At 38.9% G+C, this 25,571-nt stretch overlaps 1 long non-coding RNA gene across 1 annotated transcript; it reads right to left on the reverse strand.

Moving 5' to 3' along the window:
* Positions 1-620: 620 nt before the first annotated feature.
* LINC00519 (long intergenic non-protein coding RNA 519) lies at positions 621-24,695 on the reverse strand. Its single transcript, NR_145423.1, has 2 exons — positions 24,440-24,695; positions 621-1,150 (listed from the first exon to the last, which is right to left on the reverse strand). It is a non-coding gene; the product is annotated as a long intergenic non-protein coding RNA 519 (long non-coding RNA).
* Between the last annotated feature and the right edge of the window lie 876 nt (positions 24,696-25,571).

Raw genomic sequence — 25,571 nt, forward strand, 5'->3', positions numbered from 1 at the left:
CTCCAGCCTGGGTGACAGAGTGAGACTCTGTCTCAAAACAAACAAACAAAAAAGGTAATGTAGGCTAACCTGAGTTTCCTTTTCCTCATCTCCACAGCATTGGTTGTAACCCCTATCAGACTGTACTATGTGCCTTCATGTGCATTCCTGTCATGGAGAGCACCCAAAATAGGTATTCACAAATACTAGTGGGAATTGCTCCCTCCTATTAATCTATCTTCCTTCCATTTAAAGTCATTATGAAATGATAAGGGTGTTGGACAGAGTCCGTCCTCCCCTCCCCTCCCCTCCCTCCCCTCCCCTCCCTCCCTCCCTCCATCCCTCCCTCCCTCCCTTCCTTCCTTCCTTCTCACTGTGAAAAATTCCAAACAGACATAAAAGTAAGATAGTGAAATATACCATCATCATCATCAAGACTTATCAATGCTCAGCAGCTTGCTGTATTTCACTTATTTTATTTTTGCTAAAATATTATGAAGCAATCCCAAATATCATACATTTTATATCAAATACTTCAGTGTGCATATCTAGAAGATAATGTTTTCTTGGCTGGGTGTGATGGCTCATGCCTGTAATCCTAGTGCTTTGGGAGGCCAAGATGGGAGGATCACTGGAACCCTGGAGTGCAGACCAGCCTGGGCAACATAGTGAGACCATGTTTCTAAAAATAATAAATTAGCTGAGTGTGGTGGCACACTGATATGGTTTGGCTGTGTCCCCACCCAAATCTCATAAATCTCATAAATTGTAGCTCCCATAATTCCCTCATATTGTGGGAGGGACCCGGTGGGAGATAATTGAATCATGGGGGTGGCAGTTTCCCCCATACTGTTGTCGTGGTAGTGAATAAGACTCCTGAGATCTGGTGGTTTTATAAGGGGAAACCCCTTTCACTTGGCTCTCATTCTCCTCTCGTCTGCTGCCATGGTGAGGCATCCGCAGTCACGTGGAACTGTGAGTCCATTAAACCTCTTTCTTTTGCAAATTGCCCAGTCTAGGGTATGTCTTCATCAGCAGCTTGAGAACAGACTAATACACACTTCTAGTCCTAATTACTTGGAAGACTGAGATGGGAGGATTGCTTGAGCCCAGGAGTCTGAGGATGCAGTGAGCTGTGATTATGTCACTGCACTCCAGCCTGATCAAGACCCTGTCTCCAAAAAAAAAAGAAAAAAGAAAATTATATTTTCGTAACATAATGTCATTAATACACCTAAAAAAATTAACAGTAATTCCTTAATAGTAAGTAATACCCAGACCATAGTCGCATGTATTCAATTGCCAGCACAGTCTTTTTATAGTCGATTTGTTCAAATCAAGATCTAAGCATGGTAAGTAGCACAAGAGAGAACAGCTAGCTGGGGCCCCGTTTACAGTTCTTAGAGTGGAATGCAGGAATTTCTTTGCCTAGTGCACAGTGAGTCAGTTTTACTAATAAAGTGCACCCTGACATTTGTGGTTTTGACTGTCTGGAAACAACTTCAAATGTACATGGCATTTAGTAGTGTCTGCTGAAGCACAAAAGTGAATCCTAGGGACTCCTGAGGCTGTGTCTGGGAGGGAGTGGTTCAGCTAGAGAGTAAACCTAGCTGAGAGCTGGCACTTGGCTCCTCAATGACGCTTTGTTCTTCTCTTCTTCTCTTTTCTTATTCTTCCCTGATTTGGGATTTCACAGACTTGTACAATTAAAAAGTAGAGTTTTACATAGAATTATTAATCTTTTATTTTGCTAAGTAAGGACATCAGAAAAAAAAGTCTTGGCTGGGTGTGATGGCTCACGCCTGTAATCCCAGCACTTTGGGAGGCCGAGGCTGGTGGATCATCTGAGGTCAGGAGTTTGAGACCAGCCTGGCCAACTTGGTGAAACCCCGTCTCTACTAAACATACCAAAATTAGCCAGGTGTGGTGGTGCATGCCTGTAATGCCAGCTGCTTGGGAGGCTGTGGCAGGAGAATCACTTGAACCCACGAGGCAGAGGTTTCAGTGAGCTGAGACTGCACCACTGAACTCTAGCCTGGGCGACAGAGCAAGACTCTATCTCAAAAAAAAAAAAAAAATCTATCACCATTATTTCTTAAAAGAAAGGATATTTTAATACTAAAAGGGTAGAACTGACATGATTTCAGAATAATGGAGCATCTATCCCAGGAAGTGATTATTGGCCACCTTATCTTGACATTATATATGTTCTGTGGTTCTAGTTTTGTTATTTTGTCATGGATTGGTGAACAACATTTTGTCACAGTTTGGTATTTGGGAAGCATTCCTCTACCCAAGATTGCTTAGATAGTAAAACTTGTGCCGTGATAAAAATGTCATTCTCTTTTGAAAAATAGTTGAGTGGGAGAGGAAACTTGTAGTAAAAGTTGAAAATGAAGTTAACTTGTGATGTAGAGATAGGCACAGAGATGCTACTGTTTTGATCTGTGATTTAGGGGCATAATGGGAGCAGGTACAAACATTTCCATATTCTCATATAGATCTGCGATTAGATCAAGGGATGTCAAGAATTATTCTCTTAAACTTATTAGGCCTCTGATCCAACTTCTTCTTGGCTCCCAAGAACTTTCATTGTTCTTGCTCACATTTCCAAGCCCACATGTCCTCCTTGTCCTGTACTCACAGCCTAATACCAGCATTAAGCGGATGACCCCCACATTTGCATCTCTTGCCCACTCTGCTCTGCTGAGCTTCAGACCAATGTATCCAATTGCATTCAATAACAGCTGCATTCAACAACAGGGAACCGTTACTCTGCTTCCTCATTCTAGCTCTTCGTCCTCTCTTCCTATTGTGCAAAATGGAGACTTGCTCATGCCAGAAACCAGGAGCTCTCGCATCCATATTCACCCCTCTAAGATTTTACTTCCGAATATATTTCAGTCTATTTACTTCATGCCATTACTATCCCTACCACTCCAGTCTAGGTCACTGCTACCTCTTGCTTGGGCTTCTACAACAGTTCTTCTTACTCCACCATCTCTACACTAACCCTACCAGTTCATTCTTCATACAGCCAGAGTGACTTTCTTAAAATGGAAATTGTGTCACATTGTACCCCCTGTTTAAAGCTCTGAGGGCATTTGAGATAAAATGAAAAAAAAAAAAAATTAAGAGAGGGTCCAAGTCCCATGTGGCCTGCCCATTACCCAACTTCAGTCTCATCTCAAGCAACTTTCCTTTTCATCTACCCTGCTTGATTGATACATGCTGGACTTTGATTTTCTTGAATACTCGAAACTTTCTGATTCAGAGTAGGGAAGACATGGTGTTTCTTCTACTAGAAAGTCCTTCTCCCTCCCCTCTCTGCTGTCTGTCTCTTCCCCCTCTGCATTGTAAGCTCCCTGAGGACAGACCCTAGACTATTGTGCTCATTAATGAATAACCAATATCTATTCATAATAGCACAGTCCTTGGCAGAGAGTAGGTGCTTGCTAAATGAGTGAATGACTATTCCAATTAATACCAAACTTCCTTCATCCCTATAGAAGGACAGAAAGGAGAGGCTGAATATATTTGAAAAAGAAACAAGGCCATATCTTTGCTAGGTCAGCCAAATTGATATTGGGTATTCAGACGAATATTTATCTGTGTCGTTGTAATAACGGACCTTTCTGTGAAATAAAGTCAATCATATTTAAGTGGGTGCTATGATCAGCCCCATTTTGTCTGCGTTGCAATAATTGCCAAGGTTTCTATAAAACTCCTGGAAAGGGTGACCCCTCTGTCTTGATAAAGTGCTAAATCTGTCCATTATAGACAAAGATCTATAATATGTCCATTAAAAAAACACTAAGTACCTTATTAGAAAAGACTGAAATCAAATACATGGAAAATGGCCCCATAACTTAAGCCCACACTTTTATTACAGTTTTTAAAGAGAAGAGTCAACATATTTGTAGAACCATTTCCTATAATACTTTTCAATAAATTATATAATTTGCACTTTTGCTTAGCGGAAATGAAATGTGTTCTGAGAATTGTAAGCCCACATTGAGCTCCTATTTTACTAATTCCCTTTTAATGCATCATCTCAGTGACTCACATTTAGCACCACATCTTACTGGCTAATTATCTCTACTTTTCAGTTTAGCATCCTACTTCATGCTAATTGAGTCCTTACTTGTATTTTGTGGGTATGATTTATCCCAACTATACTGTAAGCTTCTTGTAAACAGGAGTTCATGTATTTTTCTACTTCTGCATTGTAGTTACCCTGTGTAATAGGCAAAGTCATAGAACAGTGAAAAAAAAAAACAACCGACATCTCAGGGGCTTTGTTTCCTACTCAACCTGCATGTCCAATATGGGTCCGCAGGGGAACTCTGACACATCCATCACCCTCATATTCACCCTACTAAGAGTTGTGTTCTCCCAGGGACCCAGGCTAATGAAGGCTTTGTCTTGACACTTCTTTCCCTGATCAAAACAACACTGAGGAGGAAACATGACAAACCCCATAGCTGGATTTTATAGCTCCTGCCAGTGTGTAATACATATCATTCCACATGCATGTCATTGGCTAACACAAGTCACACGGCCATGCCCAACCTCAAAAGTGGTGGGCAAATGCAGCCCTATTGTGTGCCAGGAAAGAAGAGAGTCAAGAATACTGGCAGCTCTGCACTCATGATTCACACTCAGTGCTGCTCAGTTCCAGCTCATGATGGGATTTCTATCATAACTTGTTTCATTGAAGTTTGGAAATGCCTGAAGGAATATATGTGGGCTCAAGGTAAAGAGAAGGCAGTTACTGGTTGAAAAGAAGAAAGTGTGGCTACTGTGTGTTTGTACTCTTTCTTGTTTCAATTTCTAAAATCTGGAAGGGAAAGCCCTAAAGAATATTTCAAAATAAAGGACCCACATGAATACCTGCCTTTATGTAGCCAATAGGTGTGTACTGACTAATCATCTGGTATTCCGCTTGACCTAGTCAACATTTCTGCCAATGATTTGCATGATTGCAGATGTTGACATGCAGAAAACATTTGCATACTATATGAACCTGGAACCAAATTACTGGAATGAATAATTTGGGTGATAGAATTATGATCCAAAGCTGGGATCATGGGCTGGAATAATGGGTTCACTGTAAAGGATAAATGTGTGATGTTTGGGTCTAAAGACCAATTCAATTACAAAACTACAAGATGGCAGAGCTTTGAATAATAGCATATGTAAAAAATCTTCATGATTTTATGTTGACATGAATTGTATTCTTATCTGATGGTGGGATATGGTGGACAAATGAATTAAAGGAATGTCTGTCTGCATGGGAACATGACACCCAGGCCCATGAAGGAGGGGCTCATGAAGTCTGCTCAGGCATTGTGCAGAGCCTTGAGCTAAGTTTGGCCTGTCAGTGCTTGAGGGACCTTGACAGATGAGCCTGCCCAGAGGAGAGTAGTGAGGTTACCAATGGAATGAGAACACTCAAGGAGCAGATGAAGGGGCTAGGCCAGCTTATCCTAGAGAATAGAGACTGGATTGGGGAAATGTGGGATGGGAAGGGCAGCCTTCACATACTCATAGAGCTACCAGGTAGAAGAGGGAATAAACTTTGTCTTGCTGTGGAAGGCAGAGCAAGGATAGATCATAGCACTGATTTTGACACAACGGAGAATAGAACTCTGTGAAGTCCATGTCTGTGTTATTCTGTGTTCTAACCGAACTCTGTGAAGTCTCAGTTAAGTTTCTTCTATGTTATGTCACAGAGAAGATTCATGAATCCAAAGAGTAGAGTGACCAACTTCGTTTACCCAAGACTCAGAGATTTTTCTAAGACTTAGAATCTTCAGTGCTAAAATCAGAAAAATCCCAGGCAAACCTGGAAGAATTGGTCACCCTACCAAAGAAGTTTGCTTTTAATGTTATCTAAGGTCTCAGCCCCCTCAGAGATTCTATGATTTCTAAGATAGATATGTTGATTTTCTCAGAAAAATTTCAGGTAAATGCAGTGATTCTTATACAGTACTTTTGGTTCTCAGTCCCATGCTAATTTAATCATGAAAGACTTTTACATGTATTTTGAGCAATTATTCCACATTTGTGTTTAAGATTTGATCATTGCCAGTAGATTCATGCCCTACAATTGTATCAAATAATCAGGAGAATATTTCCCTGCAAGTCCAAAGTCATTAATTACATAAATGAACATTTTAGAAATACAGAACTGCACCTTTCTTAAGAAACCACAGTGGGTAATTTGATTGTTTGAATGGCCGTTATCCTTAGATGAAGCTTTATGAAGGTGAACGGCAGAACAGGCTGTTCCATCGGAATGAAATTTCACTAGGCTTATACACAATGAAAGAGCTATTTGTGTTCAAGACATCCTAGTAGAAACTTTGTTCCTTTCTTTTAATCATTTATTATATATGGGATTCTGGAATAAATTTATTAAATCAATCTGCAATCTTGAAGATTTGTTCATTTTTTGGGGTTCAATGTTTGTGTATTTAGGAATAAGACCTTCACAAAGAGGTTTTTTAGTTTTCCCTTGGCATTCTTTTTGGTAATATGCCACCTGGCCATTCTAACTGTTCAACTTCAATACAACCATGCGATGGTTTATTGAGGTCTGCCAACTTCCCTAAGCCATTTCCCTTATAGCACACTTGACAAAACCATGTTAATAGAGTCCTACGAGATGAGAAGAGTAACTGGTGAATGGGCTCTATTTTTTAATCTAGTTGGTGATTTATGGAGAAGAGAAAGAGACTCTTCAGGTTTCTGCCTTTCCATCTCATTTCAAGAACAGAAATACATCGAGGTAAGAGAATCATGGCAAGGCTATTGATGTGGCTTAAGGGCAGTGGCAATAAAAAGAGTTTTGACTGAGAGGAAAATAGTGGGAAACAGCTGCTCACTCAAGCCCACTCCACCACATGCTCCCTCCTACTTTGGTTTGGCTTCATGCCTTCTGGGAATTTTCCTTGGATCATGCATCTGACTCTTCTCTCTGCTGTCACACAGAATAACTCTATTCTTGGATCTGTGTTGTTCACTGTAGTTGTTGATGAAAGATTTACTATAAGGCCAGGAAAAAAACCTTGTTGTTCATGATGAATAAAGCCCCAAATGGGTACAGTCTTGGACATTCTACTGCTTAAATTATCAACCATGCAAGAGAGGTATACAATTGTCTTAGCTTCCTGTCTGTATCACTCTGTGTACTGTGGCTATGGTAGCTTTGGAAACTAATTGGAAACAGAAGCAATGCAGTGTAGGATAGTGACACATCCCCGAGAAGATCTTATACGAAGAAGAGATGCATTTATTACTAGAATCTGCAACCCCCCCTCACAATCTCATCTATCTATTTTCACAAGTAACACTCTGGAATCTCAAACTGAGTGTGGAATTGTATACTTACCTTGTATGGCCTTTCACATTGATTTGAAAAGGAAGTCAGAACTGAGTATTTTTAGTGGACACTGCAATTTTGATCCAGAATATCTTAACTTTTTATGAATCATTGCAATGGTAAATATTGGAAATCCGTTGTTCAAGTTCAGAAAAAGGCTCACCAAAGGTAAATAGCATGTGTGCTCATCAATGATAATTAGCTTGCTTTTATTTAGCTATATTCCAGCCATGTTTAAACACCCATGGGAACATGACTGCCCCTTTCTGGGATTGCATCTGAAGTTATCTACATGGATAAAGGTGGATTCCCCCCCTTCCTTCTTGGTACTCATTTTTCCTGGATTTGATCTTTTTCTCACACTATCCACACTGAGGAAAGGTGAATATCTCCTCAGCATTTCCCATGATTAGGAGGAAGATGATACTTGATTGTAGAACAGAAACCTACCCTCAAGAGAGAAGTTGGGAAAGAGGTTTTGAGAAATAATTTGCTTGTGCAGGAACAAGAACATGGAGAGACTTATGAATGTTGAGTCAGAAAACTCACTGTGATGAGAATGAAGTGTATAAAGTAACTTAGCAATGTCAGTGATGCAGGAGAAGCTGTAGAGTGGGCCAGTGGTGTTGCTCCCGGGATAGACATTTTCATGGACCTGTCATGCTGGACTGGCACTGTGCACACTGCTGCTCTTGCTGTGCTATCCTACGCTGAATACATTGCGGTCTCAGATTTACTGTGACTGCACTTTTCAAAAAATAGTGTTTGAAATTTATGAAAATATGAAAATCTGAATGTTACTAATTGGATTTATACTGCTTATCAAGAGATTCTTCTTCACATATACTCAGGGCATTGCTGAACTGAGGTATCACCACCTTTCTGCCCAGTCACTTTCCACGTTTGCTAAGTTCTCCTGTAGGCTGCCCTGTCAATGTGACGCTTATTGCACATGGCCTATGTGCCACCCTTCCTGTCACCTTCAGTTTATCCCATGCTTGAATTGCACTATCATGTTATAAATCCATCAGAGAGTTCTTGTTTTATTCAAACTGGTATCAAAACAAAATTATCTACAGGCAGCCAAGCCAAGTTTTTCCTTTACTTGCTTTTGAAAGACTTTATTTTTTTATTTTTATTTTTTTCATAAATTTTTCTAAACTTTATTCTTTTTTTTATTATTATACTTTAAGTTTTAGGGTACGTGTGCACAATGTGCAGGTTAGTTACATATGTATACATGTGCCATGCTGGTGTGCTGCACCCATTAACTCGTCATTTGGCATTAGGTATATCTCCTAATGCTATCCCTCCCCCCACCCCCACCCCACAACAGTCCCCAGAGTGTGATGTTTCCCTTCCTGTGTCCATGTGTTCTCATTGTTCAACTCCCACCTATGAGTGAGAACATGCGGTGTTTGGTTTTTTGTCCTTGCGATAGTTTACTGAGAATGATGATTTCCAATTTCATCCATGTCCCTTCAAAGGACATGAACTCATCATTTTTTATGGCTGCATAGTATTCCATGGTGTATATGTGCCACATTTTCTTAATCCAGTCTATCATTGTTGGACATTGGGTTGGTTCCAAGTCTTTGCTACTGTGAATAGTGCCGCAATAAACATACATGTGCATGTGTCTTTATAGCAGCATGATTTATAATCCTTTGGGTGTATACCCAGTAATGGGATGGCTGGATCAAATGGTATTTCTAGTTCTAGATCCCTGAGGAATCGCCACACTGACTTGCACAGTGGTTGAACTAGTTTACAGTCCCACCAACAGTGTAAAAGTGTTCCTATTTCTCCACATCCTCTCCAGCACCTGTTGTTTCCTGACTTTTTAATGATTGCCATTCTAACTGGTGTGAGATGATATCTCATTGTGGTTTTGATTTGCATTTCTCTGATGGCCAGTGATGGTGAGCATTTTTTCATGTGTTTTTTGGCTGCATAAATGTCTTCTTTTGAGAAGTGTCTGTTCATATCCTTTGCCCACTTTTTGATGGGGTTGTTGGTTTTTTTCTTGTAAATTTGTTTGAGTTCATTGTAGATTCTGGATATTAGCCCTTTGTCAGATGAGTAGGTTGCGAAAATTTTCTCCCATTTTGTAGGTTGCCTGTTCACTCTGATGGTAGTTTCTTTTGCTGTGCAGAAGCTCTTTAGTTTAATTAGATCCCATTTGTCAATTTTGCCTTTTGTTGCCATTGCTTTTGGTGTTTTAGACATGAAGTCCTTGCCCATGTCTATGTCCTGAATGGTAATACCTAGGTTTTCTTCTAGGGTTTTTATGGTTTTAGGTCTAACGTTTAAGTCTTTAATCCATCTTGAATTAATTTTTGTATAAGGTGTAAGAAAGGGATCCAGTTTCAGCTTTCTACATATGGCTAGCCAGTTTTCCCAGCACCATTTATTAAATAGGGAATCCTTTCCCCATTTCTTGTTTTTCTCAGGTTTGTCAAAGATCAGATAGTTGTAGATATGTGGCATTATTTCTGAGGGCTCTGTTCTGTTCCATTGATCTAAATAATAATGTACAGAATTTAGTTATAAATTTAATTATGCTAGGAGAAATAATCACCAAGTTACTGTTTGGTGTATAACATTTTCCCTCACGACATCAATCAGGTGCCCGAAATAAACAGCTAACAGCAGCCCACCTTTTTTTTTTTCTTTCTTTCTTTTTTTTTTTTTTTGAAGCAGAGTCTTGCTTTGTTGCCCAGGCTGGAGTGCAGTGGCATGATCTCAGCTCATGGCAACCTCTGCCTCCTGGGTTCAAGTGATTCTCCTGCCTCAGCCTCCTGGGTATCTGGGATTACAGGCATCTGCCACCATGCCTGGCTAATTTTGTATTTTTAATAGAGACGGGGTTTCACCATGTTGGCCAGGCTGGTCTTGAACTCCTGATCTCAGGTGATCTGCCCGTCTCGGCCTCCCAAAGTGCTGGGATTACAGGCATGAGCCACTGCGCCCGGCCTCAGCTCACCTTTTTATTTATTGTATGAGTTTTTTCTGTCTTTCCTATAGAATTTTCAAGCTCTTAAAACAAGTGCATGCTTCATGTGACCTTTTCATTGAACCCACAAAAATCACTGCAAATGCTGTTTTCTCTTAGGCTCTAAAACTTAAAATAGGGAAATGAATCTGAGGCAGTCAACACAACTGGGATGCTTCCTTTAAAAAAAATTCTTACAGACTGCAAAAGATAGGCATCTCATCTCATTTGTATTTAACATCATATATGATATGCATAGATATATAGATATAACTTACACAAAGATAATTCAATATACATGCTTTGAATAATCCTACTGATTGGTTGCCTTCTTGCTTAAGTAGTCATTGCAGAGACAATAAGGTTTGCTTAACATGCCTCTTTGGCTGTGTGTGTGTGTGTGTGTGTGTACATAAAGAGAAAATACAGCTTTGGGAAGAGACCAGTCTTTCACTATAATTGTTTGGAACGTAATGAGCTGGTATATTCCTTAACATAAAGCCACCACTATGATGTGCTATTCTTTACCATGTCCTAAGATGGTTGTGTTGTAAACTGGGGTTATGGTATACTGACTTCATTCCTTATAGCTAAATCATTAAGGATAATAATTAGCATTCTTTCTGTATGTGTGCAGATTACAAATTTAACCTGAGATGTGTTTCCCCTTCAGACAAATTGCTTTTGGGTCCACAAAAGAATTTCTTCGTTGTTTATTTTTAAAAATTATCCTGCCTTTTCTTTTTAGCAAGCAAATGTTTATCGGACACCTCATTTGTAAAGTCTATAATAAACAGTGGGAGGGAGGGAATCTCTGTCTTTAAGGAACTTATTATTTAGTGGAAGAACCTAAAACCCGTTAGTTGTGGTGTGCTTATTAAGTTTCCACATGGGACAAAAATATACATTGCTGATTAATATGCCAAGGTGGTATATATTTAGTTAGGTTTAGGTCATATGAAAAGTTTGGTTATACATCCCCATTGGCATATACACACATACACATTTATTTAGATCAGTGGCTTTCAAGCATGTTTTCTCTCCTAAAGTGGCAGAGACTCTAGCCTAAGTGAGGGAGAGGCAGGATTCTTACTGTTGGCCCTCTTTATGCCACCTCCTGTCTTCATGCAGTAGCCTTGAGCATGACCTGAAAATTCCTGATTCAGATTGTTTGATATGCAACAGTGTGTCTTAGAACATTAATTATTACAACTGTAGTCAATTTCTACAAGCATAACTCAATATACATGCTTTGAATAATCCTACTGGTTGGTTGCCATGTTGATTAAGTAGCCTTGTTTCTAATGGCTTTGCAGTTTTTTCTTAATTCAGGCCTTTCACATCGTTCACCCTCTTAGTCAACCATATGCAGTTTATAGCTTCACTATAGACATTTTCTATAACCAATTTGTCTCTTTGGCAATACACATCTTATTGATTTTCTAAATAAATATCTGGGCCTTATCACTTAGGATCTCATCACTTTTCATCTGAATTATTAGGAGAACCTCTGCACTAGCTTTCTGCCTTTATTCTTGAAATTGATAGTGAATTTATTCCTTTCCACTTTGTTACCAGAGGGGTATTCCTGAATCATGAGTCATTTTTTGTTCTTCCCTGTTTAAATTTTAGTGAGTTGTGTGGTCCTGGAGATAAAGTTCAAACCTCCTAACGTGGCATACCAATTTCGTCCAGTTCAGCTTATTGAATCTCTGATGAGATCCCCCAGTAATTCAGGAACCAGGTTAGAGATGGGAGTCCTTCCTCCAACCTTGTCCTCTGCCTCATCCTTTTATGTGTGTTGAGTTGTTTTCTATTATAGCACCTCAGCACCTCATTGCCTTGGTACAGGCTGTAGCCTCTGCCTGGCACAGCCTTCTGCAAGCTTCAATAATTCCTCTTTTTTTTTCCCAAAATTCAGCTTAAGTTTCACTTATTTTAGAAACATTTCATGATTGTTTCCAGACTAAGATCTCTTCTTCTGTGTTCCCTCTCTCCACTGAAGCTATATCCCAGCATATACTTTTGTTAGAATTCTATTGCACTGATTTGTAACAATTTTCTGTCTCCTCTCATAAGAATGTGTTTATTTGATGGCCAGGACTGCATCCTGTTCATGGTTGTATTCTCTGTACTATATCATCTATCAAGGCGACTTGCATAAATATTTTATTTTAAAATATGTGAATTTGAGCCCTTCTTAATATTGATCCCCTCTGTTATAGACTGAATGTTTGTGTCCCCACAATTCATATGTTGAATCCCTAACCCTCAATGTGATGGTACTTGGAGATGAGGCCTTATGGAGGTAATTAGGGGTAGATGAGGTCATGAGGATAGGGTCTTCATGATGGGATTAGTACTCTTACAAGAAGAGACACCAGAACACTCTCTCCCTCTCTTTCTCTGCACACACACTGAGAAAAGGCCATGTGAGGACACAATGAGAAGGTGGCTGTCTGTAAGAAGCCAGGAAGGGAGCTCCCACAAACACCCAACCATGTTGGCACCTGATCTCAGACTTCTAGCCTCCAGCACTATGAGAAAATGAATTTCTGTTGCTTAAGCCACCCAGTCTATGGTATTTTGTTATGGCAGCCCCAGCAGAATTATAAACCCTCAGGGGAAGAACTGCTTGTTTATCATTTTGTTTACTATCTTTATGTTAGATTTCTAGCTCTGGAAAGTATTCCCTTTAGTTCTATGGTAATTCAACATTTAACAACAGGTTTTTTGAATTAAAAAAAGTAGTGCCATGCTTGATATACAAGATTTGGGATGCACACACACACACACACACACACACACACACACACACACACACATCACAATGAAAACATCACCTATAACCCAACAGAATCACTGTTAATATTTGTGTTTGTCTTCTAGTGTATATAATACAGTATGTATTACACACATACGTATTCCACAAAAATAAGATCATACTATAGTCCAAAGCAGTAAATATAGCTTACACTTATATACTTATATGGATGTTTATTTTGTTTAGTGTCACAAGGTGCACATTTTGCTATGACAATAATTACTCTTCTGCAGCATTATTTTGGGTATACAATTTTCCATCCAATGAATATATAACTCTACTGTAGATGTAATTTTTGGTCTGTATTCTTCTGAGATATTTAAACATTTATTAGTTTACTGGTTCCTCCAATCCAAGTGTTTATTACTCCCTCAAAGTTTACTTAGTTTCTTATAGTTCAAATATGGCAACTTTTCACAAGAGTATCACAAAGAATCTTAAAAATCATTTATTCATTGATTGATTGATAAATATTTATTAAGTACCCACTGGGTAGTACGAACTGTGTTTGTATTTCTGGGGAAATTCAGTAATATATAGCAAGAATCCAGAAAATATATGTGGTGTTTGTTCCAGTTATTGTGCTTTTAGAAATTTATTGCTAGGAAGTAATTGTATATGCACAAACAGACCTGTGTACTCAGATGTTCATTGCAGCATGTAGAGCAAAGGAATGGCCATGACCTACATTTCCAACAGTGAGGAAATATCTGAAATAATTGTGGCCCATCCATATGGTAGAATGTTTTTCAGCCATTAAAAATACCCTTCTCAGAGAGTATTTAAGAATGTGGGAATTGCTTAAAATAGAATGTTAAGTGAAAAAAAAAAAACAGGTTACAAAATTATGTGTATAACACGTGATCCCTGTTTTATACAAAACAAAACAGAACAAAAACTATTTATAGAAAATAAAATACCGAAATATGATTTGTTTTCTCTAATAGCTGGATTCCTGCCTTTGTGACTAAAAAATGTTTTGGGCAATTAAACATGTTTGAGATGGTTTATTAATTTCAGAGATATGGAGCACCTTTTATTAGAATTGTTTCATTTTGGTGAAGTGAATTGCTTCAAACATCGGTTGAATTCTCACCTTCATAGTGATACCAGGGATGTTTTTGGAGTGTTTTTGATGAAAGGAAGCCCATCAAGGAAGCAGGGGAGGCATCACCAATATACCCTCAACACTTGTTCTTTAAGACTCAGCCTAGCAGTCAAGTCTCCTGGGAAGTTTTCTCTGCATCTTATCCTATCACCACAAATGCAAATCCAGTATACTGTGTTACTATTACACAGTGTTGCTATTGTTTGTTTCTTTTCTCTCCTGGATTGTGCTGGAGCCTACCAATGTACTTGGTTTATAGTATTCAGTAAAATGTTGAATGCATGAATGAGAAGTGAATGACTGATCCAATGCCAACATTGCTCAACTACCCCTGAAACCCCTATACCTGAGCAAACCAAAGCCGGTATGTTGGACTTGATGGAGTGATATCAGCCTTGCTTAATAGAGAAGCAGCTCAAGTCAGGATATAGGATGGATTGTGTCAGTACAACCTCGGTGAATGTTTTTCATGCATTCCCCCGACATTGTTCTCCCTGGCTGGCTCTTGTATGATTATATTAGCTCTCGCATATCTGAGGTGAGAACTGTTAAGCAGCAAGGAGGCTGCCTGCTATGTGGTTCAGCATCCGACGTTATTTGGTCCTAAGCTCTGTGATGGAGCTGATCTGTTTCTGTATACTGAACTGTCTTTTTGGGGTGGTTTGGGGGAGGCTGCTGGGTTCTCAGACCTCAAAAGCCTAATAAAAGAACAACCATACATTAAAAGACATCAGGGAAAGAGGGCATTGTTTCTTATGTGGCAGCACAAAAGATGGGCCCTGGACTAGAAGGAGGGTCCCTGCTAATAAAGAGCTAGCCCTGTGAGGGCTCTGGTGCTCTTCTTGTCGTATAAAAAAACTGGAATCCCTGAGCAGATGGCTGAAGCACAGGACTCTTTCTGTTAACTTCAAATTCCCTTCCTATGGTGTAGGACTCATTCATAGGAGATAGGTCACATTCTGGCTCACAATGCCATGCCCATAATTCCTGCTGGAATCAGTGAGAGCCGTGGGTCCACAAGCTGAGGGCAGTCTGGTTTCCTTTGATAAGGAGTGTAGAGTGTGTGTGTGTGTGAGTGTGAGTCTGTACGTGATAGAGAAACTGTACATGTGTCAGGGGAGAGAGAGGGAATGAGAAATATTGAGAATTGGCCTTTTCCAAGAGAAAGGATTAAAGACATCCCTTTCTGTTCTGGGATGGCCCTTTCTTTACTGTTATGAATAGCTCTACTAATAGAAAGAATTAACAAGTACTCCATCTGTCATAAATCCCATTTAATATTCATGCCCGAAATAAACTGAGTTCTTACCCTAATCTGGCTTGCTGACTGTTCCTTCTCAGCCCCAGGGAAAGGATTATTCCAATGGGATCACTTCCAAATATTTGGAGAGAAGGGGGTGGAGGTAGAGAAAATGAAAAGGCTGATTCTGCCTTCCAAGGAGTTTAATTAATGCCACTGCCTTCTAGCCCTGAATTGTCTTGTGGCAAATGGCTCATCGAGTTATCTGAAGCGTACCACCTCCTGTTAACAAAGGTCATTTAAGGTCACCATGACTGGCTTCATTTCTGAAGTGTCTCTTCCTACCATGCCTGGGCAAATCTCAACTTCTATTTTGTTTCCTGATAAGGCTGCCTTTTCTGCATAGGATTTGGAAAGACTCTTCTATTTAATATTCAGTTTTACAGACCATTGCCAAGAAGCTATTTAAATTGTCCAGACACATAACTGTACATATTTTCTGTTTTATATAGGGGCTCTTCCATGAAAGGTAGCAGAGAATTCAGTATTATGATTTGGCAAAACCTAGTTGACACAGATGTGTTGCCAGTACCCTTGGGCAATGCAGGACCCATAAAACTGTGTCCCAGGTGTGGCACCCCACTCCCACCTCAAGGTGAACCTTAGTGCCAAGAACTCACTCTCTTAATTGGTATAACTTTACAGCAAATGTTGATATATTATAGGGCAAAAGGCTGCACCTTGTTCTTCTTTAAAATTATTTCAGATATCCTTGTTCCTTTGCTTTTTCATGTTAATTTTAGAATCATACTATCAAATTTTAATCAAAATTATTTTGGGTTGGATTGCATTTACTGAATTTATAGATTAATTTGGAGAGTTGGAGTTGTCCTTTATAGAGTCTTGAGTCTTCCCATACATGATATCTCTCTCCATTAATTTGGTCTTATTTCATATCTTTCCATAATGTTTAATAATTTTTCCCATGAATGTCCTGGACATATTATTTTAGTGCATAACTCAGTGCCTGCTATATAGTAGATATCCAGTAAATTTTTACTGAATAAATATGTTTTGTTGCTAGTGTGAATGGAATAAGAGTTCAACAAATGTTTGTGTATTGATTTTTTTATCTAGGAACCTTTCTGAAGCATGTTTTTCTATTTTTTTTTTTTTCTTTTTGAGACAGAGTTTCACCCTTGTCACCCAGGCTGGAGTGCAATGGTGCAATCTTGGCTCACTGCAACCTCTGCCTCCTGGGTTCGAGCAACTCTCCTGCCTCAGCCTCCCAAGTAGCTGGGACTACAAGCATGCACTGCTACGCCAGGCTAATTTTGTATTTTTAGTAGATACTAGGTTTCACCATGTTGGCCAGGCTAGTCTCGAACTCCTGACCTCAGGTGATCAGCTCGCCTCGGCCTCCCAAAGTGCTGGGATTACAGGTGTGAGCCACTGTGCCCAGCCCATGTTTTTCTATTCTAATAATATGGTACATTTTCTTGGATTTTCTGTGTATATAATAATTTGGTCTGAAAAATCAGAGGTTTGTTTTTTCTTTCTAGTCTTTATGCATTTAGTTTTCTTTATTGGCTTATTTTATTTGATATAATCTCCAGTACAATGTTGAATAGAAATGATGATAGAAGTATCCATTTCTTTTCCTGAATTTAATGGGAAATTGAAATCTCACTATAATATGTCTGCTTTCAATAGATGCCTGTTATCAAATTAAGAAAGTTCCCTTGTATTCTAATTTTCTAAGTTTTTCATATCTTAAAATCATGGATAGGTTTCAAATTTGATTAAATGCTTTTTAAAAATATGCTTGATTAGATGTGCTAACATTTTATTTAGTGTTTTTGGCATCTGTTTTCGCTTGATATTCATTCTTTGGTCACAGATGCAAATATTGGTGTTATAGCATAGTGGTTAATAGCGCATGCTCTGAAGTGAGACTGTTCAAAGTTTGAATTCTTGTTCTATCACTTCTGACTACTAACTTGAGTAAATTACAGACATTCTTTATGACTCAGTTTCCTTATCTCCAAATGCAGTTAATAATAACACCAACCACATAGTTTTTTTTTTTTTTTGAAGAAATTAAATGATATAATCCAAATAAGGCTGGGCACGGTGGCTCATACCTGTAATCCCAGCACTTTGGGAGGCCAAGGCAGGTGGATCACTTGAGGTCAGAAGTTCAAGACCAGCCTGGGCAACATGGTGAAACCCTGTCTCTACTAAAAATACAAAAATTAGCCAGGCGTGATGGTGCACACCTGTAATCCCAGTTACTCAGGAGGCTGAGGCAGGAGAATCACTTGAAGCCAGGAGGCAGAGGTTTCAGTGAGCGGAGATTGTGCCACTGCACTCCAGCCTGAGTGATAAAGTGAGACTTAGTCTCAAAAAAAAAAAAAAGAAAAGAAAAGAATAATCCAAGTAAAACTCTAAAACAGTTCTCAGTGCCTTGTTGAACATTTAATGTATGTCAACTCCATTTTCTTCTTCCTATTACTATTATTTCTCAGACTCCCCTTGTTTAGTTTTGGTGCCAAGGTTATAATGGTACCTAAAGGAAGATTGAGAGATTTCTATTTTACTTTTCAATATAGCTTATATAAAATTAAGATTTTATGTTTATTGAAGCTTTGGTAATACTCATTAGTAGAAATCATCTGGCTTTAGGAATTTATGTGGATAAAATTTGGGGATAGTCTTTAAAATTATAGACTTGTTTTTATTTCTTTTTGAGTCAATATTGGCAAATTTATCAAAAAATTATAAATTTATTTCTCAAAATGTGGGTTCATAGTGTTCACTTAAGATTAGTTTTGAATCCCTAGTTCATCTAAAATGCTCTTCTCTTTTCTACTGCTACCATTGTCTAACTTGTACAATCTCCTTTCCTTGACCCATCTTACCAGAAAATCATCTATTTAATTTTCCATTTCAGAAAAAGAACTTGGTTTTATTGTTCTTTTCTATCGTTTCTTCCCTTGTGTTTATTATTATTATTATTATTATTATTATTTTGAGACAGGGTCTCACTTTGTCACCCAGACTGGAGAGTAGTGGTACCATCTCGGCTTACTGCAATCAACCTCCACCTTCTGGGCTCGAGTGCTTGGTCCTCCCATCTTAGCCTCCTGAGTAGCTGGGACCATAGGTGCATGCCACCATGCTCAACTAATTTTTTATATTTTTGATAGAGATAGGGTTTCACCATGTTGCCCAGGCTGGTCTCGAACTCCCGAGCTCAAGCGAGCTACCTGCCTCGGCCTTCCAAAGTGCCCTTACGTTTATTATATGCATCCATCTACTTTCTTCAAGTTCCATCTTTCTCTTTCTAACTTCTTGAATTGAATGCTTAGTTCACCTTATTTCTAGTTCATTGTGATACATATATACATATATGTACTTTTTACTTTTAATACTACTTTAGGTGTATCATACAAGTTTTGACATGTCATGCTAATAATTTCTATCATGAGTTGTTAGCTCACAAGTTATTTGGAAATATGTTTTCTTTGTGTGGCATCATGGAAATATGTTTGATCTTTGTCCTTGGTTTTTGACAGAGCTCCTGAATCTCTTATAATTCTCTGAGTGATGGGGTGATAGGAGCATATATATATATATATATATATATATATATTTTTTTTTTTTTTTTTTTTTTTTGAGATGGAGTTTCACTGTTGTTGCCCAGGTTGGAGTGCAATGACGTGATCTTGGCTCACTGCAACCTCCACCTTCCAGGTTCAAGCAATTCTCCTGCCTCAGCCTCCTGAGTAGCTGGGATTACAGGCATGTGCCACCACACCTGGCTAATTTTGTATTTTTAGTAGGGACGGGATTTCTCCATGTTGGTCAGGCTGGTCTTGAACTCCCGACCTCAGGTGATCTGCCTGCCTCGGCCTCCCAAAGTGCTGGGATTACAGGCGTGAGCCACCACGCCAGGCTGATAGGAGCATATTTTGTTCTAATGAAGTGACTCTTGGTTGGGCCCTTAGATCACTTCAGGATGGGGACTGGTCACCAACCAGAAAACTTGATTAGAAGCCTAAAACTTTCAGCCGCACCCCTCAACCTCCAGGTAGGAAGAAGGGGCTGGAGATTGAGTTAATAATTGATCACTCCTTTGTGATTTAACTTCCTTAAAAAAATCCTAAACAATGGGGTTTGGAGAGCTTCTGGGTTGGTGAATGCATCCATATACTGGGAGGGTGCCACATCCCAACTCCACAGGACAGAGGCTCCTGAGCTTGGGACACATCTGGACTTCACTCTACATACCTGTTCATTTGGCTCATTTGTACCCTTTATAATAAACCAGTAAGTGCAAGTAAGGTGCTTTCCTGAATTCTGTGAGCTGTTCACAACCTGAAGGAGGGGATTATGGGATTCCACAACCTTGTAGCTAAGTCAGATGAGGCATCAGTAATCTGGGAACCTCATACTTGTGACTGATTCGTGGTACTGAGTCCTTAAACCTTTGGTGTCTGATACTAACTGTGGTTAGTTAGTGTCAGAATTGAACTGAATTGTAGAATACCCGGTTGGTGCCAAGGAATTGTAGAATTGGTTGTGGGTGTGGAAAATCCCCTACACATTTGGTGTCAGAATCTGTTGATGTCAGGCGGAAAAAACACCTTTCATTTGGCATGGGTGTTCCATTATTTGAAAGTTATGTTTTTCTGCCTCATCTCAGAATTCTAAATGTCACATAGGTCAATATTGATTATTATAATTATTTGAATCTTCTATGTCTTACCAATTTTTGGTCTAGGTGACTCGCTTTCTGACAAAGATGTGTTAAAATCTACCTCTGTGATTTTTTCATTTTTTCCCCTTATAATCTTGCAGCTTTTTGCTTTATATATTTTGAGACCATATTGTTTAGCACAACAGTCAAGGTCAGTCTCTCTTCCTGAAAAAAATTTCCCTTCTCATTTAGTGTGTTTAATACTAACAACTCTGTCTTAAATTCCATTTTGTCTGATTATAATAAGGCTCTCCTAGCTTTCTTGCACTTACTATTTGCCTGGCGTATCTTTTTTCATCTGTACCTTGTAAATATCATACAGTTCAAATTTCAAAAATTCCAGTCTGAGACTATAACCAGTGGTTTTAATTTTTTTACATATATTACTAGTATATTTGGATCTATTTCTTCCATCTAATTTTCTGTTTTTGCGTCATTCTCCTTTCTTTTTGCCCTTTTGGTCTATTTGAGTTTTGTTTTTCCTCTTCTTCTTTTTCTAGTTTGGGAGTTATACTTTTTATTTCTATTGTGATAATCTTTAAATTCTAAATTTAAATTATAGTGATAATCTTTAAATTCTTGTGACTAATACTTGACTAAGTTTAAAGTTAATGTTTCCCAAGCACTGTGAGGACTTCCACTTGTCTGTTCAGCTTTATTGAGTTACACCTGACAAACAAAAATTGTATATGTTTAAGGTGTCCAATGCAATGATTCGACATACATACCCATTGTGAAACCATCACCAGATTCAAGTGAATTAACACAATTTGTCACCTCACAGAGTTACTTTTTTGTGTGCTGAGAACACTAAAGTTCTTTTCTCTTAGCAAATTTTAAGTATACCATACAGTATTATTAACTATAATCACCGTGCTATGCATTAGATTCCCAGAACTTATCCATCCTATAATCGAAAGTTCGTACCCTTTATTTTACCATCTTCCCATTCCCTGCCCATCCAGCCCCTGAAAATCATCATCTACTGTGTGCTTCTATGAGTTCAACTTTTTAAAGATTCCACATATAAGTGAGGTCATATGTGAGGTCATGAGTGAGTATTTTTCTTTCTGTGTCTGGCTTATTTCACTTAGAATAATGTCCTTAGGGTTCATCCATATTGTTACAAATGGCAAAATTTCCTGCTTTTTTTATATTCATATGTGAGTGTGTGTGTGTATATATATCTAAAATGAGATATTATGTATACATACATGTATATAATGATGCTATATATACCTATATATGAAATTTATGTGGAATAATTTAGATATATCATTATATATGTAATTTATATATATATGTAATTTTGTGGATTATTTCACATTTTCTTTATCCATTCATCTGAGCTTACTTTTTAAACTCAGCTCCTCTTCCATTTCCATGTTATTAGTGACTACTATTGTCTTCTATCTAGTTCTAACTTCCTCATTAGTTGTCTGAATTATTATTATGCTTTGTTTACAGTTTCCATTTATCATCATATGTACTGATATTTGTGTTCATCATTGCATCTTGCTTTTTACTTCTTTGTTCTGGACTAAATTTCCTTAATGAAGTGTATTTTTAGTAGGTATTTCAGTGATGAATGGCAAATTCTCCTTTCCTTTTTCCATAAACATCTTTACTCTCCTCTCTGGGAGTTTTGTTGAGTTAGGTGTTGTATTCTAGGTTGACAGTTGTTTTCAAACAATAGCATGAAAATACAATGTGATTTTCTTGTGGGATATTCTGTTGCTGATGGGAAGTCTACTGGGGATCCAGCTGTCATTTTTTTGTTGGCAATTTGTATCTTCTCTTTGTTTGCTTTGGAGATTTTCTGCTGTTTTTGCTATTCTGCAATTTTACCACAGTGTGTCTAGTAGCAGATTCATTTTCATTTAGCCTCTTCAGCATTTGGGTACTTTTTCATTTTGAGGAATTACAATTCAGTTCTGGAAAAATCTTAGCCATTGTCTTTTCAATATTACCTCACCCTCATTCTCTCTTTTTTCTCTTTTTGGAGATTTATTTTGGACTTTCATACCCTAGCCTTTATATCTCTTAACTACTTTCATATTTCCTATCTTTTTATTATTCTCAGCTGTATTCTGCATAATTTCTTTAGATCTAGTTCCCATTTTTGTAATATTCTCTTCAACTCTGTTTAATCTGCCACATACTTTGAGCTTCTAATTTTATTTTTTTGTTATTATTATTTTTGAGACAAGGTCTCACTGTGTCACCCAGGCTGGAGTGCAGTGACATGATCTCGGCTCACTGGAACTTCAGCTTCCTGGTTCAAGTGATTCTTATGCCTCAGCCTCCCAAGTAGCTGGGATTGCAGGCATGCACCACTATGCCCAGCTAATTTTTGTATTTTTAATAGAGATGGGGTTTTGCCATGTTGGCCAGGCTGTTCTTGAACTCATAGCCTCAAGTGATAGACCCTCTTGGCCTCCCAAAGTGCTGAAATTACAGGTGTGAGCCACCGTGCCTGGCCTTGAACTTCTAATTTTAAGCACTATATTTTTCATTCCTATAAATTCTGTTTTTTAAAAATCTGTCCTTTTTCATACTTTTATTATTTTTTAACAAAGTTTTAATAATTTTAAATATACATATTTTTTTAGTCTGTTTCAGTTCTCTTCTCTCCCAGTACTTGGAATGATAATTCTCTCATGTATTAATTACATCTTCTGGCATTCCATTCCCTCTTGGTCCTTTATTCTTGTGTGTGTGTGTGTGTGTGTGTGTGTGTGTGTGTGTTTGTGTGTGTGTATTGTAATACTTTATTTTTAAATAGAGTTCATTATCAGCAGGTTGTGTTTTTCCTTGTGGGATTTCTGTGTTCTCAGTTGGTTTAAGTGTCCCTCCAAGAAATAGCTTACACATGGTTTCCGGAAAGTTCAATATTTCTTGCTATTGGTTACAACAAAGAGGATAGAACTAGCAGCCACTGAGAGACAAATCCCAAGTGAGCAAGGACGAAATGAATGGAGCAAGGACCTAGAGAAAGTGAGAAGCTAAAGGATGAGGAGCCCAGGTATAGTACAGCTTTATAAAAAGGAACAGGAATATGTCTTTCTTTTCAATAGGAGGGAAGGTAAAACTGTGACGAAAAACACAGAAAATTTTGAGGAAAAACTTGAGAGAAGCCCCAAGAAATGATTTATTCTTCTTAGAATGACAAGAGATGAGTTGTCTTTGCAGGTAAGGCAGTCAGATAGTTATGTGTCTGAGGAGACTAATGCTGTTAGAAGTGCTGAAGGGCAACAGGAAAAGTTAACAGAAAGGATTGTCAAGAAGGAGGGAGGGCCCAGCCAGGATTTAGAGAAAATAGACTTGTGGGATACAATCTATGTGCTTTGGTGATTTTTCCCACACTACTTGGCAGCTATGGATAGAGGGAAGATAAGTATGGGTTTGCCAGATTCGATGATTGACAATCCAGCCATAGGAGGCAGTTTGGGAGTGAGCAATTCTAAGATTCCTGCAAAAGCCCTATTTAAATCATTTCTAATGGATTCCAGGCTGGGTAAGGGGCAAAAGAAGCCAGAAAGACTCTGATGAATGAGGAGACAAGAGAAGAATCTAGAAAATGGAGACTCAGTGAAGGTGAGGACAGATCAGCAGGGATGAGAGGGCTGTGGGGTAAGAAGTGCAGGAAGTAAGGTCAGGAAAGGGGATTTTCCAGCTTGAGCTCTTGGCCATGGAATAGTTCCCAGGGCCAAGCATACCAGTAATTATTTGTGGCTCAATTATTTCCTAGATCCTTGCTATCTGGAGGAAAAGTTAGTGGCTCTGAGCTGCAGCATGGGGTCTCTCAGCTCCTACTTTCTATTGTAAAAAGTGAGAATGTTAGCCTTGCAGAACTATTATCCTACTTTAAAAAAAGATACATATTAGGTGCTCAGCAGTTTACAACATCTCTGGTGATTGTGTCTAAAATTATCATATTCTAAAGCCATGAGGGGGTCTATCAAGGCAAATATTTTAACATCACTTGAGGACTTTGAGCCTTATTTCTTCAAATGCTTGCCCATGATTCCTGGAACCTTTGCTTTCTGGTTGAAGTCTTGGTTTAGCATGTGCAGCAAATAAAACAGAACACAGCCACTCCCTGAGAGCGTCCCCACCTCCCCTCTCCTCTCCTGTGACTTACGTTTTCCTCAGTGAGCTGGCTGCCACCTCTGCAGCTGCCCTTTGAAGCATTTCTCCAGAGTGGTGACTGTCATTAGCTGTGCTGCGGCTTGGCTGTTCTCCCTGCCAACTGTGGTTGTGTCTGCCCTCACTTTCCATAGGACGTGCTGGCAGGCTTGGTGCTTTACCAAATCACAGCGGCCTTTGTGGGTCTCTGTCAGCATTTCTTTCCTTTTGCTTTCTTTGTCTATGTTGTTTCTAGAAGGGAGCAGAACTTGGTTGCTGAGTCATCACTGGCTGTGATGTGGGAAGTCAGAACAGTTCTTTACCTTTTGTTTATTTGTGATCTCCTCCCTCTAGAATGCTGAGAGTGTTTTGAAGGAGAAGATTCATAGGAAGAAACAAATTTAACCAGGATAATAGGTTGGGATGGGACACACTTCCAGTCCAATCTTGCTGTCCACTTGGTGGTAGGGAGGGGTCAATTCACTGTGCTGTTTCATTGGGACTTACTTTGGCATCCTCATACTGAGTTAAGTGTAGAGAACACAGTGATGGGATTGCATTAGCCTTCAAAAAGATGCTTACTTGTGACTGGCCTACTTAGAAAAATGGAGTGGAAAAAAAAAAAGGAATGTTTTGATGCAGAAAGAAAAATAAGGTAGTAGAAGGTAGAAATAGAGAACTACAGTGAAGGACCAAGCAGATGGGCTGTATCAGCTCTAAAACGTCCCTGGACTGTGTTCTTCCTGGCCATGTCCTGGATTTTCCATTCCTGCTGACATTTCCAAGTCATAAATCAAGGAGGAATACTCGAAGAGCCTTACGATTTCGTTGAAATATGAGCAGCCAGGACATCCTCTGGGTGGAGTAGGACTTGCAGGTGCTGGAGGTGGGCGGGCAGGACATGAGTTGAACAGCAGGCAGGGATATTGGGCAGGGTGGCCATTGCCCATGGAGTCCAAAATTTCACCTTTTTATAAGAAACTTTGGGATTTGGGCCTATGAAGGACAGCCCAGTGAGTCATTTCTCCGGGGCTGGGATGGGAAATTACTAGTTTTTGGTCTTATGATTGTGAAAGTCTGCAGATGTGCAACCATAAGTCTTTTTTATTCTCCTTTACTCTGCCTTTTAAAACTTTACAGTTAACAAA

The sequence above is a fragment of the Homo sapiens genome, chromosome 14 (assembly GCF_000001405.40).
Source record: "Homo sapiens chromosome 14, GRCh38.p14 Primary Assembly".
In the NCBI taxonomy this organism is placed as follows: domain Eukaryota; kingdom Metazoa; phylum Chordata; class Mammalia; order Primates; family Hominidae; genus Homo; species Homo sapiens.